At 45.2% G+C, this 13,923-nt stretch overlaps 1 pseudogene, besides 1 other annotated feature; it reads right to left on the reverse strand.

Annotated features, from left to right (window-relative positions):
* Positions 1,745-2,566: an enhancer, noted in NCBI's record as "OCT4-NANOG-H3K27ac hESC enhancer chr6:73913855-73914676 (GRCh37/hg19 assembly coordinates)". NCBI's record gives its function as "activates a minimal SCP1, AML or CMV promoter by ChIP-STARR-seq in naive H9 embryonic stem cells {active_cell/tissue: H9 hESC(naive)}" and the evidence as "EXISTENCE:reporter gene assay evidence [ECO:0000049][PMID:30033119]".
* On the reverse strand, positions 6,536-7,680 carry KHDC1P1 (KH domain containing 1 pseudogene 1; annotated as a pseudogene).
* Positions 7,681-13,923: the final 6,243 nt, after the last annotated feature.

Consider the following 13,923-nt stretch of genomic DNA (forward strand, 5'->3'; position numbering starts at 1 on the left):
TCTATACACCACCTTGACTTTAGAAACAAACTGCATCTTATAAAATAAATTATATAAAGTACTTCCATTTCCACAGCATCCACCCCACTAACCAGCACATGACAGTCAGACTCACGACCACCCAGCAGCACAGAAAAGCTGCACTAGAAGTTCATCTGTGACCTCTTAGAAGCTAATTCGGCCGGGCACGGTGGCTCACGCCTGTAATCCCAGCACTTTGGGAGGCGGAGGCGGGTGGATCACGAGGTCAGAAGATCGAGACCATCCTGGCTAACACGGTGAAACCCCGTCTCTACTAAAAATACAAAAAATTAGCCGGGCGAGGTGGCGGACGTCTGTAGTCCCAGCTAGGCGGGAGGCTGAGGCAGGAGAATGGCTTGAACCCCGCGGGGCGAAGCCTGCAGTGAGCCGAGATTGCGCCACTGCACTCCAGCCTGGGCGACAGCGAGACTCCGTCTCAAAAAAGAAAAAAAAAAAAAAAAAGCTAATTCAAGGGACACCTTCAACCAGCATCCCTTTTGGCTTTTCTTTAATAGTGGACACTGCAATCACTCTTTCTTTCTCTTAAAATTTCTCATCTTTTAGAACGCCACCCCTTTCCAGTTTGTAAGTTATGGAGAAAAAAACCAAAGTATTTTTTCTAAACTTTCACTCAACAATCGACACAGAAGACTTCTGTGACCTCTGGTCACCAAGGCGTTGTATGGGGATTTCTCTCCGCTGTCAAAAGACAAAATTACAACACAATTTAGTTTGAAGATCTTAATTGGTTTTTGTTTGCAATTTTAAAATTGTGCAACACCTCCTTCTATACAATTGAATGAATGTTACAGTGAGTCAAGCAGAGGAGGCTGGTTTTATAAACTGACAAGAGCTGAGAAGGTCAGAAACAGTAAACAAAATGCAGATTGGTTTCAGTTAATTTCCTCATAAAAGTTAAAGCAAAGGGAACTTCCTTAACATGTTGGCTAAAACTGGCCTGTTTGGAAATTTAGTTATTGTCTCTATCTCTCTTGATTTCTTGAAAGGTCAAACAACTTAGTTTTGGCTTGGTGATGTGTAAGTTTAGCATAAGTGATTCAACTGTGGTTTGGTCTGTTGGGCCTGGCAGTAGTAGTTCAATCCACATCAATGGGCTCCTATAAATTTCCTTTAACACCACCAACAGCCAAACAATCAGTTCTGCAGTGGACACAGCTGAGTGTCTTCTAATTAAATTCAATTCTGGGCTGGGCTTGGTGGCTAACACCTGTAATCCCAGCACTTTGGGAGGTGGAGGTGGGCAGATCCCTTGAGCTCAGGCATTCGAGACCAGCCTGGACAACATGGTAAAACCCCGTCTCTACTAAAAATACAAAAATTAGCCAGGCATGGTGGCGGGCACCTGTAGTCCCAGCTTCTCAGGAGGCTGAGGCAGGAGAATCACCTCAGCCCAGGAGGCGGAGGTTGCAGTGAGCTGAGATCATGCCACTGCACTCCAGCCTGGGCTACAGAGCTGGGCCCTGTCCCAAAAAAGAAAAAAAAAAATCAATTCTGAATTATCTACCTGGAGGTAGCATTAGATCCCACATGTTGATGACTCAGTCCCACAAGACTGCCCTCCACTTCGGATGCCAATCACAAGCCCCAGGTTGTTTTACCTGGGCTTCTGACCAACTAGGGATAAATCGAGATTCCTACAACCCATTCCTAGGATCGGACTCATTTGCTAGAGCAGCTCACAGAACTCAGGGAAACACATTTACTGGTTTATTATAAAGAATATTTCAAAGGATATGGATGAAGACATGCATAGGGCAAGTTTATCAGGGAAGGAGTGCAGAGCTTCTACCTCCTTCCCAGGCATGCCACCCTCCAGGAACCTCCGGGTGTTAAGGTATACAGGATCTCCACAAACCCAGTCCTTTTATGGTTTTATGGAAGCTTCATTACATAGACGCGATGGATTAAATCATTAGCCATTGGTGATTAGCTCAACTTTCAGCCCCTCTACCCTTCCCAGAGTTAGAGGTGGGGCTGAAAAGTTCCAACCCTCTATTCACATCTTGACCTTCCCTGTGACCAGTCCCTGTCCTGAAGCTACCCAGGGGCTCCCAGCCACCAGTCGTCTCATTAGCATACTAAAGACACTCATCAATTTGCAGATTCCAAAGGTTTTAGGAGCTGTATGTCAGGAAACAGGACTAAGACCAAATACTGTACATATTTTACACTGCCACAGTCCTACCTCTCTGACTTGGTCATCTTTATAGACTTCTCCAAGCTCCTATTGTTTCTCATTTCTTTTTCTTTTTTTTTAATTTGCTTTTTATTTTTGCCAGGCCCCTCCATCACACAGAAACATTTCATTTTTTAATCTATTTGCTGAGTGAAGGAGAACAATCAATTCAGCCACTTGAGCTGATTTAACTTTTTTTTTTTTTTTTTTTTTGAGACAGAGTCTCGCTCTGTCACCTAGGCTGGAGTGCAGTGGCATGATCTCAGCTCACTGCAACCTCCGCCTCCCAGGTTCAAGCGATTCTTCTGCCTCAGCCTCCCGAGTAGCTAGGATTACAGGCATGTGCCACCACGCCCAGCTAATTTTTGTATTTTTAGTAGAGACGGGGTTTCACCATGTTGGCCAGGCTAGTCTCGAACTTCTGACCTCATGATCTGCCAGCCTTGGCTTTCCAAAGTGCTAGGATTACAGGTATGAGCCTCAGCGCCTGGCCTGTTTTGCATTTCTTTTTTTTTTTTTTTTTTTAATTGATCATTCTTAGGTGTTTCTCGCAGAGGGGGATTTGGCAGGGTCATAGGACAATAGTAGAGGGAAGGTCAGCAGATAAACAAGTGAACAAAGGTCTCTGGTTTTCCTAGGCAGAGGACCCTGCGGCCTTCCGCAGTGTTTGTGTACCTGGGTACTTGAGATTAGGGAGTGGTGATGACTCTTAACCAGCATGCTGCCTTCAAGCATCTGTTTAACAAAGCACATCTTGCACCGCCCTTAATCCATTTAACCCTGAGTGGACACAGCACATGTTTCAGAGAGCACCGGGTTGGGGGTAAGGTCATAGATCAACAGCATCCCAAGGCAGAAGAATTTTTCTTAGTACAGAACAAAATGGAGTCTCCTATGTCTACTTCTTTCTACACAGACACAGCAACAATCTGATTTCTCTGTCTTTTCCCCACATTTGCCCCTTTTCTATTCGACAAAACCGCCATCGTCATCATGGCCCGTTCTCAATGAGCTGTTTGTTGGGTACACCTCTCAGACGGGGTGGCGGCCGGGCAGAGGGGCTCCTCACTTCCCAGAAGGGGCGGCCGGGCAGAGACGCTCCTCACCTCCCAGACAGGGTCGCGGCCGGGCAGAGGCGCTCCTCACATCCCAGACGGGGCGGCGGGGCAGAGGTGCTCCCCACATCTCAGACGATGGGCGGCCGGGCAGAGACGCTCCTCACTTCCTAGACGGGATGGCGGCAGGGAAGAGGCGCTCCTCACTTCCCAGACTGGGCAGCCGGGCAGAGGGGCTCCTCACATCCCAGACGATGGGCGGCCAGGCAGAGACGCTCCTCACCTCCCAGACGGGGTGGCGGCCGGGCAGAGGCTGCAATCTCGGCACTTTGGGAGGCCAAGGCAGGCGGCTGGGAGGTGGAGGTTGTAGCGAGCCGAGATCACACCACTGCACTCCAGCCTGGGCAACAATGAGTACTGAGTGAACGAGACTCCATCTGCAATCCCGGCACCTTGGGAGGCGGAGGCTGGCAGATCACTCGCGGTTACCAGCTCGGCCAACACAGCGAAACCCCGTCTCCACCAAAAAAATACGAAAACCACTCAGGCGTGGCGGCGCGCGCCTGCAATCGCAGGCACTCGGCAGGCTGAGGCAGGAGAATCAGGCAGGGAGGTTGCAGTGAGCGGAGATGGCAGCAGTACAGTCCAGCTTCGGCTCGGCATTAGAGGGAGACCGTGGACAGAGAGGGAGAGGGAGACCGTGGGGAGAGGGAGAGGGAGAAGGGGAGGGAGAGGTGCATTTCTTAACTGTAGGTGTTCCCATGGATTCCATCAGCCTCTTCCCTTTACTCCCTCGAGCTCCATGCTCTCCCCAGGTGGTCTCACTTATGATTTCAACTACTAATGCAGAATGATCCCACCCAATCACGTATCTCCAGCCCAGATGTCCTTCCTGAACATCTTCCCTAGGGCCCAAAGTTACCACAAATGCCCCAGATTAAAACAACTTAAGGGCAGGGATATCTCACTCACATTATACCTCTAGCTTCTCACACAGTACTATGTAGTAGGGACTCAATATGTTAATGAACAAAAGTGTTTTGTTCACCCCGGGACTTTTATTTGGCTTTCAACAACTTCCAACCCCTAATTTCAGAGGCTCTGCAGTCAAGAGGAAAGTGCAATCATCAAGACTTACTCACACTGTGTCACAAATTTAATCTGTTACTTTTCCCAAAGGTCTTTACTGTATAGTCTGTTACTTTTCCAAAGGGGCCCATGAAGAAGTCAATGCCACATAACCAGTAATCATGTCTCTACAAGACTAGGACCTAAAGAGCCCCACTCCCATCCCACTCAGACCTCACATTCTTGGTCTGTACTCCTCCCCATACCCCAAAACAACTGAGTCAGACCCCATAGATGACACCCATGCCTAGACTTTGACCGCTCATCAGAAAGACTGCCTTCTGTCAAACCTCACTGTAGACCCCAAAGAAAAAAGGAGGACTATCTACTCTTCCCCTGTCCTTGTGCCCTGTAACACCATATTTCTGCTCCCCACTTCTCTTTACTCTTTCCTACCAATGCCACACCCATAGCCAGAGCCCAGCCTACACAGTCTTTGGATCCCACGCCTTAGAATAACAACTCAGGCTTAGTGACTGCCAATATTGTGTCAAAAAATGCTTCCCAGTTACCATCAATTATAATCCTTACCACATTACCACAAGAAACAACCTTCGATAGAAGGACATTTTTATCTAACTGGAAGAACAGAGGTAGGGCTAACTCCAGGCAGAACACAATTTGTTCAATGACATCATCAAATTTCCAGATTATTTCTGTCTCTGCTGTCCTCTTTTTCAGCTGTATATTATTGGTGGCTCCTCTTATTGTCTACAAGATGACAACAGTGGCAACTAATGCCACACACCTTCTTAATCACATCTAACCAGAGACAGGAGGAGGCAGGAAACCCTCCACTCAAGTGCAGAGTATAAATCCTTTCCTAACACCTGGTTAGGTTAATACAGGTCACATGCTCATTCCTGGACCAGTGAATCACAATGTGTAAGGCCTGATTTGATTATGTCAATCACCATTCCCCTTTTGGAGCTAGGGAGATAGGGTACGCTTTTAAGAAACAATAGTTTTATTAGAAGAAAGATGGTAAAAGAATCCAGGCAAAAGACTGTTGCTCACCTGAGGTAGTCAGTATTATCTCAATTTTATGTGGGAAAACCAATGCACTAAGAAATCAGTGACTTGCTGAAGATCATAAAGCCATCTACTGGTAGAGCTGTTATGTAAGTGCTTGTAATCTCACGCCACTGTTTGAGATATTCACTCCTCCATTATGATACCTAAGCTGTACCCACACAGAAACCTTTGGTGACTGGGATTTAGAGATGAGAATTATAGCCTTAAAATATAAAATATTAATTTCATCATTTGTGGTATGAAACTTGAGAAAATACTCTTTTTGCACGTCTTTTACAAAATAAGTTTTTTCTCTAGTTTATGAGCCATCAATTATTATATTATAGATTTAAAAGTAAACATGATATTCTCCTTGAGAATAGTGTAGTTATATTCTTCCTCGAGCAAATTCATAAGTGTTTTCATACTTTGAATATGATCTTTCTAACTTTTATTTGGTAACTGGCCATGTAAAAACCATGTAATTAGCAAATCTTGTTGGCTTCAAAATAGATTGCAAATTCAACCATTTCCTAACATTTCTACCATTCTACTCTAGTCCAAGTCACCACTGTTGCTCTGTGATAGAGGACTGCAATTGCCTCATAAGACATACAGACTGCTAGAGAAAGAAGAAATTTGAACGGGAAGAGTTCAACTGAGGACAGGTTTAGCTTGCCATAATCTTGGCTAGAGAGATCCAAATGTAGATTTGGCATTGGGAGAAAGTTCTGGAATGGATTAATTCACAGCTTGAGGGACTTCAGAATCTCCATCTGGAGCCTTCCTCCCACCTTTCCATTCTCCCCATTTGTCTGCACTTCAAGGTCCAGGAAAACCCTGGGGCTTCTAGGAGGGTCCCTTTTTAGAAATCCTGGTTTTCACTCAACTCAGAGCAGCCTAACCAGGCTCCAGGCCTGAGAGGAGGAGTTCCTGAAAGCGCCGACTTGTGTGCCTGGCTCCTTCCCTGGGCTGGGCCTCCCCAGACCTCAGCACTTGCCCAAAGAATCCCCTTCAGGGCTGGATAAGTTCATCCTAAGGAAAGAGGACAGCACATCGAAGGCTTTGCATCACAGGTAGCTTATTTTATTGGATTGCTTTGCCAATAACACTTCTTACACTCAGGAGACTTCCCTCAGGCACGTGCCTAGAAGGCCTGAGAGGGACAGGTCCCCGCCACAAGTTCAAACTTTCTTCAGTGTCTTTCATGTCTTTCTCACCAAAAGTGAAGCCAAGACTTCTCCTCTCATCCCCACTTCCCAGGGGAGATCTGTCCTTAATTACGAATAGAGTGAACTCAAATAGAATACCTAACGACCAATCACTTGGTAAGGGAAAGGCTGAGGTACGCTAAGACAGACGGTTCCACTTATCCTGGAGGCCAAAGACAGGTCTCTGGTGTACGGTGGCACACTAATGGAGGCGACCAGATCATGGTTGGTCAGGGGCTGGCTCCGGACACGCTCCAGCATCTTGAGGCCTGCAGAAGAAGTGCCCAGGGCTGGTGAAGTAGAGCCCATTACTGGGGCCCTTGGCAGGCCTGGACTCCACCAGGGACATCGCAGGGAGGATGTCACCCCAGCCAGGCCTTCCAACGTAACCCATTTATACCTCCCCACTACCCTCTACTCCCTGAAAATTGGATATCACAAAAGTGAGCCCTTCCCTTCCCAGTGAACTCTAGGAACCACCTGGATTCCCCAGCCACACAAGGGATCCTTCAAGAATCCAAGGTGCCACACAACTCAGCCAGAACTCCACCATCAAACCCTCCACACCACAGTTCAGCCAAGGATACCTACCTTGATTGTGACGACAGGAGTCCTGGCTCCCCACATAATAGAACATGTGCAGCAGCCACTGCCTTGCCCTATGTGGTCCAACTACAGTCACATGAGTCTGGCCTGTAGCTGTGAACCAACTCTCCAGCTGAATAAGGGTGTGGCTGTGCACCTCAATGCAGTGAAGGTATGTGTCACCATGCCCTGTGAGCATAAGAGGCGAGAGGAGGGTCTATCAAGCACCAGCCCTTGGGGAGTGGGGAGGTAGCCTTGGGGGAACCGATGTGTGACTGATGAAGGTAGGAAAGAAGGGAAAAATTGAAAATGGAGAAGACAAGGATGAAGGAGGGGATGTGGGCAAAGGCCACTCACCAAAGATGAGCTCCTCCTGGTCCTCTTCCATGTGAAACACCATTGGATCATGAAAGTTTTCAGGCAGGGTCTACCACGGCTTCTTGCTGAGGGCACTTGTTCCCATGGCCATGCTCTGCTCTGACCTGATTCAGAAGAGGGGCAAGTCCAAGCAACTGGTTGGTAAAGGACTTGAAAAAAGTGAGGAAGGACCTAGGCTCTGTCCTTAAAATAAGTACCCAAAACAACCCGCCCCTTGAACCACCTTAGGGTGGGTGTTCAATCCTGGGAGGTCTTCCCAAGATAATTCATTCCAAGTAATTATCTGCTCTGAGCTTAATCCTTTCATGCCAAACTTAATCATCTGACTAGTGCTTGCTTTTCTGATGCCCCGGAATCAAAAATTTTCTTCACTCTGAATTTTGGAGTGAAGTCACTATTTTGCAATCAGCAGTGTAAGAACTGATTCAGGCAGGGATCATCAAGGGATGCTGAGACAAATGAGGAGGCAGGGCAAGGATTGAAGGATGGAGGTGCAAGAAGGCTCCAAATGGGCTCCCTAGATTTGCACAGGTGCTGGCAGCCACCGAGTGACCACGTAGTATACTCCAACAAGACTGGGTTTGTTTGGTGTGCTGCATCAAGGGAGAGCAAACAACACAGGAAAATAAGCGTGTCGTGGGGAGCCAATTATAGGAGTTGTCTAGGGGAGTCTAAGGAGTGTTTAGGGAGTAGGGACCAGTTTTTGAAAATGGGGCAATTTGTTGATTATCCTGGTAACTTTATCTGGGAGGTAGGAGGATTAATGTGGTCTTGATTACAGAGTGTCAAATCTCTCTTGTTTCAAACATAGAGTGGACTTTCTACATCTTGTTGCATGACAATCACTAAGCAATCTTGACTGGTTAAAATATTTTGCAAGAGATGTTTATGTTTGGTAGGGAAGATTCGAACTTGCCTGTCAGCTCCCAGCTGCAAGTTCCTAGGTACTTTTTCACTTATCATCCTCCCCTTTTGACCAAAGACAAACTCAGCCATCAGGACTTTCATCTGTGGGGTTCAGATCTAACACCATTGCCAGAATCCACTGATCACAAGTTTATCGGGACAACATTGTCTGTATCTGCATACAGTTGGTCTCTCATGTACATTTTGTTGCAAAATATAATAGTGAAAATATAATGACCACACAGTAGCATTTCAGACTGTACAGGATGCACTAGTCAAATACAATACCAGTAATTACTAGAAAAAAATGACTATTAATACTATTAATAGGCTGCAAAGACAGAGGCCTAGATTTCAAAACCAGGCCATGAAATCATGTCCCAAATCCATCTGAATCTGATCTAGAGAGCCAAGTGGATTTGAGACTTCCAGAAGAGGCCAGAAAACCTCCCCATTTCCAAAGTTCTCCGATATGGAACAATTCAATCACCTATCTACCGCCTATATAAATATTTGCTTTTTATTTTTGCCAGGCCCCTCCATCACACAGAAATATTTCATTTTTAATCTCCTATTTGCTGAGTGAAGGAGAACAATCAATTCAGCCACTTGAGCTGATTTAATTTTTTTTTTTTTTTTTTTTTTTTTTTCTTGAGACAGAGTCTCACTCTGTTACCCAGGCTGGAGTGCAATGACATGATCTCGGCTATTGGCAACCTCTGCATCCCGAGTTCAAGCGATTCTTCTGCCTCAGCCTCCTGAGTAGCTGGGATTACAGACATGCACCACCATGCCGGGCTAATTTTTGTATTTTTAGTAGAGACGGGGTTTCACCATGTTGGTTAGGCTGGTCTCGAACTCCTGACCTCGTGATCCACCCACTTCGGCCTCCCAAAGTGCTGGGATTACAGGCATGAGCCACTGCGCCTAGCCTGATTTAACTTTTGGGAGAAGGTCATACACTAATGGTAAATTTAGATTTTGTGCTGGCATAGAATACTTGAAAAATTCTACTTTATATTTTTAAACCTGAATCGTTAACAAGAAGCATTAACATTATAAAAAGGAGATTCCAAAATATCTGTACAAAGCATGAATAGTTCCCTAAAACAGCTCAAATAATCACAAACACACCCTACTCAAGTAAGAGAAGGAGAGTTGTCATGAGAGTTAAGGAGGCCGCTAACAAATACCCACGGACTTTACCCCATAAAGTACATTATGAATGTCACTAATTAATAATTGAAAAAGGTTAGTTTTTTGTTTTGTTTTGTTTTGTTTTGTTTTTTAGACAGTCTCACTCTGTCGCCCAGGCTGGAGTGCAGTGGCACTATCTTGGCTCACTGCAACCTCAGCTTCCCAGGTTCAAGCAATTCTCCTGCCTCAGCCTCCCAAGTAGCTGGGATTACAGGCGCCCACCACCGTGCCTGGCTAATTTTTGTATTTTTAGTAGAGACGGGTTTCACCATCTTGGCCAAGCTGGTCTTGAACTCCTGACCTTGTGATCCACCCGCCTCGGCCTCCCAAAGTGCTGGGATTACAGGCGTAAGCCACTGCACCCAGCTGGTTAATTTTCTTTTTTAAAATCAATGTGTTAATAGTTATATATCACTGTATAATAAACAAGAGGGTTTTTTAACTTTAGAAGTACATGTCATTTGCCAGGTGCGGTATCTCATACCTGTAATCCCAACACTTTGAGAGACCAAGGTGGGTGGATCACTTGAGGTCAGGAGTTCAAGACCAGCCTGACCAACATGGAGAAACCCCATCTCCATAAAAATACAAAAATTAGACGGGCACGTGGTGCGTGTCTGTAATCCCAGCCATTCCGGAGGCTGAGGCAGGAGAATTGCTTGAACCCACGAGGCAGAGGTTGCAGCGAGCAGAGATCATGCCACTGCACTCCAGCATGGGTGACAGAGTGAGACTTCATCTAAAAAAAAGAAGTACACATTTTATTACAATTAACCTAGGAAAACCCAACTTTGATTTTGACTTCTCAGTTTTTTATGTTATTCTTAGTTTGGTAACCAAAAGAAAACTCATAGTATGTTTGAGTACTCAAAGTTTAGAGGATGTCAAGCAAAACTGAATATTCCTTTAATTTTTCCTTTAATAAAATTCAAAGTGCAAATATTTTTATTAACAGTGGTCACTGCAATAAATTCAGTAAAAGACATCTTAATAGTTTGAACATTTTGGACTTTGGGCCTGAATTTCATCTAATTACTTATTTATTTTATTTTTATTTATTTATTAATTTCTTTTTTAATTTTTTGGAGACAGAGTCGCTCTGTCGCCCAAGTTGGAGTGCAAGATCTCGGCTCATGGTACCCTCAACTGCCTGGGCTCAAGTAATTCTTGCACCTCAGCCTTCCAAGTAGCTGGGACTACAGGTGCACATACTTGGCTACTTTTTGTATTTTTTCTTTTCTTCTTTTTTTTTGGTTGGGGGGACGGAGTTTCACTCTTGTGGCTCAGGCTGAAGTGCAATGTCCTGATCTTGGCTCACTGCAACCTCCACCTCCCAGGTTCAAGCGATTCCCCTGCCTCAGCCTCCGAGTAGCTGGGATTACAGGATCACGCCACCACGCCTAGCTAATTTTTGTATTTTTAGTAGAGACGAGGTTTCGCCATGTTGGCCAGGCTGGTCTTGAACTCCTGACCTCAGGTGATCCACCTGTTTCAGCCTCCCAAAGTGCTGGGATTACAGGCGTGAGCCACCGTGCCTGGCCAATTTTTGTATTTTTAGTAAAGATGGGGGTTTACCATGTTGGCCAGGCTGGTCTTGAACTCCTGACATCATGTGATGCACCCGCCTCGGACTCCCAAAGTGTTGGAATTACATACACCAGCCAACGCACCCAGCCTGGGCCTGAATTTTTGAAAAAAGAATTAAGAAAATAGGTTTTAGACTAGAGTACTAGCAGTTGAAATGCATGAATTTGGGATTTATTTTGAAGACAGAGCCATCAGGATTTTTTATTTTAAGATTTTGGGCAAGTGTCAAAAAAAATTTTTTTTGGTGGGTTTTTTTTTGTTGGTTTATTTTGAGATGCAGTTTTGCTCTTGTTGCCCAGGCTCAGGTGCAATGGTGTGATCTCAGCTCACCACAACCTCTGCTCCTGGGTTCAAGCAATTCTGCCTCAGCCTCCTGAGTAGCTGAGATTACAGGTGTGTGCCACCAAGCCCAGCTAATTTTGTATTTTCCGTAGAGACAGGGTTTCATCATGTTGGCCAGGCTGGTCTCAAACTCCCGACCTCAGGTGATCTGCCCGCCTTAGCCTCCCAAAGTGCTGGGATTACAGGCGTGAGCCACGGTGCCTGGCCTCAAAAAAAAGTTTTTAAAAATCAAATTCTAGCCAGGCAAGATGGTTCACACCTGTAATCCCAGCACTTAGGAAGGCCGAGGCAGTTGACCTCCTTGAGCTGAGTTTGAGACCACCCTGGGTAGCATGGCAAAACCTCATCTCTACCAAAAATACAAAAAGTAGCTGGGCATGATGGCCCACGCCTATAGTCCCACCTATTCTGGAGGCTGAGGTGAGAATCGCTTGAACCCAGGAAGCAAAGGTTGCAGTGAGCTGAGATCGCACTACTGCGGGCCAGCCTGGGTGACGAAGTAACACCCTGTCTAAAAAAACAAAAAGCTAAAAACAAAAACAAATCAGATTCCAGACTGAGTACCCCTCCAGTGTCTTTCCACCTCTTCCTCCTGCAGCTATGGCAGCAGCAACAGCAGTTCCCCCAACCTGAGGCTGCTTCCTGAGTAATACCCATAGGCCCTTCAGCTGAGAGAGGAGCTCTCTGCCTCAAAGAAGTGTTTGTAGTCAGGGAGAGCAGTGCAGCCAGCTAGGACCAACTGGTGGCCCTGGAAAAACACTCACACCACACACGCCTTTCCTGTTGCAGGCCGTTCCCCCAAGAGTGGAGAGAAACGTGAAAGCCTCAAATGAGTCTGTGCAGGGACAGCAGTAGAGACCCAGACCTGGCACCAAGTCCTGGTCCTCCCTCCAGGTGAGGCAGCAAGACTGGCTATATTGGGTTTTGCTAGTGGGAGACAGACCACCTGAGGAGGGAGCCTGGGTGGACTATTGTGAGAAATATGAGACCACATGTGCATCTCCTGGAAAATCATTTTGCACAGTCCTGAGATTGAGAGCCCGGAGCATCCCCCTTCTGGCTCCCTCTTTCCTTCCCCTCTCTCCTCTGTCTTCTACTTTAATCTGATGTTCCACTTCGCGGTCTCTCTCTCTTTCTCTCATCTTCCCTTATACCCCCTCCTTCCTCTCTCCTTCTTCCTGATTTTCCTTTTCCTCCTGGAGAGAATTGTCTTTTCTTAGAGGAAAGAAGTGGGGTGAAATAAACAGATTTTCTTCTGTCCAGGGGGAAAATAAAACAGAATATACGCTCTGAGACTGAGCATGGTGGCTCACGCCTGTAATCCCAGCACTTTGTGAGGCCGAGCTGGGTGGATCCCCTGAGGTCAGGAGTTCAAGACCAGCCTGGCCAACATGGTGAAACACTGTCTCTACTAAAAATACAAAAAAGTTGCCAGGAGTGGTGGCACACGCCTATAATCCCAGCTACTCTGGAGGCTGAGGCAGGAGAATTGCTGGGACCTAGGAGGCGGAGGTTGCAGTGACCTGAGATCATGCCACTCCAGCCTGGGCTTGTTGTCCATGCACTCCAGCCTGGGCAACAAAGTGAGTCTCAAAAAAAAAAAAGAATATATATATATATATATATAATATATATATATATATAATATATATATACACACACACACATACACACACATATATATACACACACATATATATAATATAAATGTATGTATATTATATATTATATATGTATATATTATATATGTATATATTATGTATGTATATATTATGTATGTATATATTATGTATGTATATATTATGTATGTATATATTATGTATGTATATATTATGTATGTATATATTATATATGTATACGTGTGTGTGCATGTGTATGTGTACACTCTGAGAAAATTAGAGTACAGAAGGCAATTAAACTGAAAAGAAAGAGTTAACAAGATAGCCCAGTCCCTTGGTCAGTGAGGGGAAGCATCAAGTGTGACTTAATCTCCTTCTTGCAAGAAGTTACATCTCCAACTTGATTCTTTCAAATGCACAAATATTAACCAACAATCCAATCCTCTTTCAACTGCTTAATTACTGTTGCTTTTGAGTGCTAATCATCTGACTTTTCCTGTTTCCATCTGTCCTGTGGAGCTATTTGGTATTACACATCAGTGTTAGTGTCTGAACTTTGAAGGGTTTTTTGAAGAAAAAAAATTATAAATAAATTATTAATTTCCTGAAGTTTCCTTGTATGACTTTATGTTGGGAGGCAAAAAAAAAAAAAGTTAAGTTTCAAAACATTTATTCATAAGTGA

Source organism: Homo sapiens, chromosome 6 (genome assembly GCF_000001405.40).
Source record: "Homo sapiens chromosome 6, GRCh38.p14 Primary Assembly".
Lineage (NCBI taxonomy): Eukaryota > Metazoa > Chordata > Mammalia > Primates > Hominidae > Homo > Homo sapiens.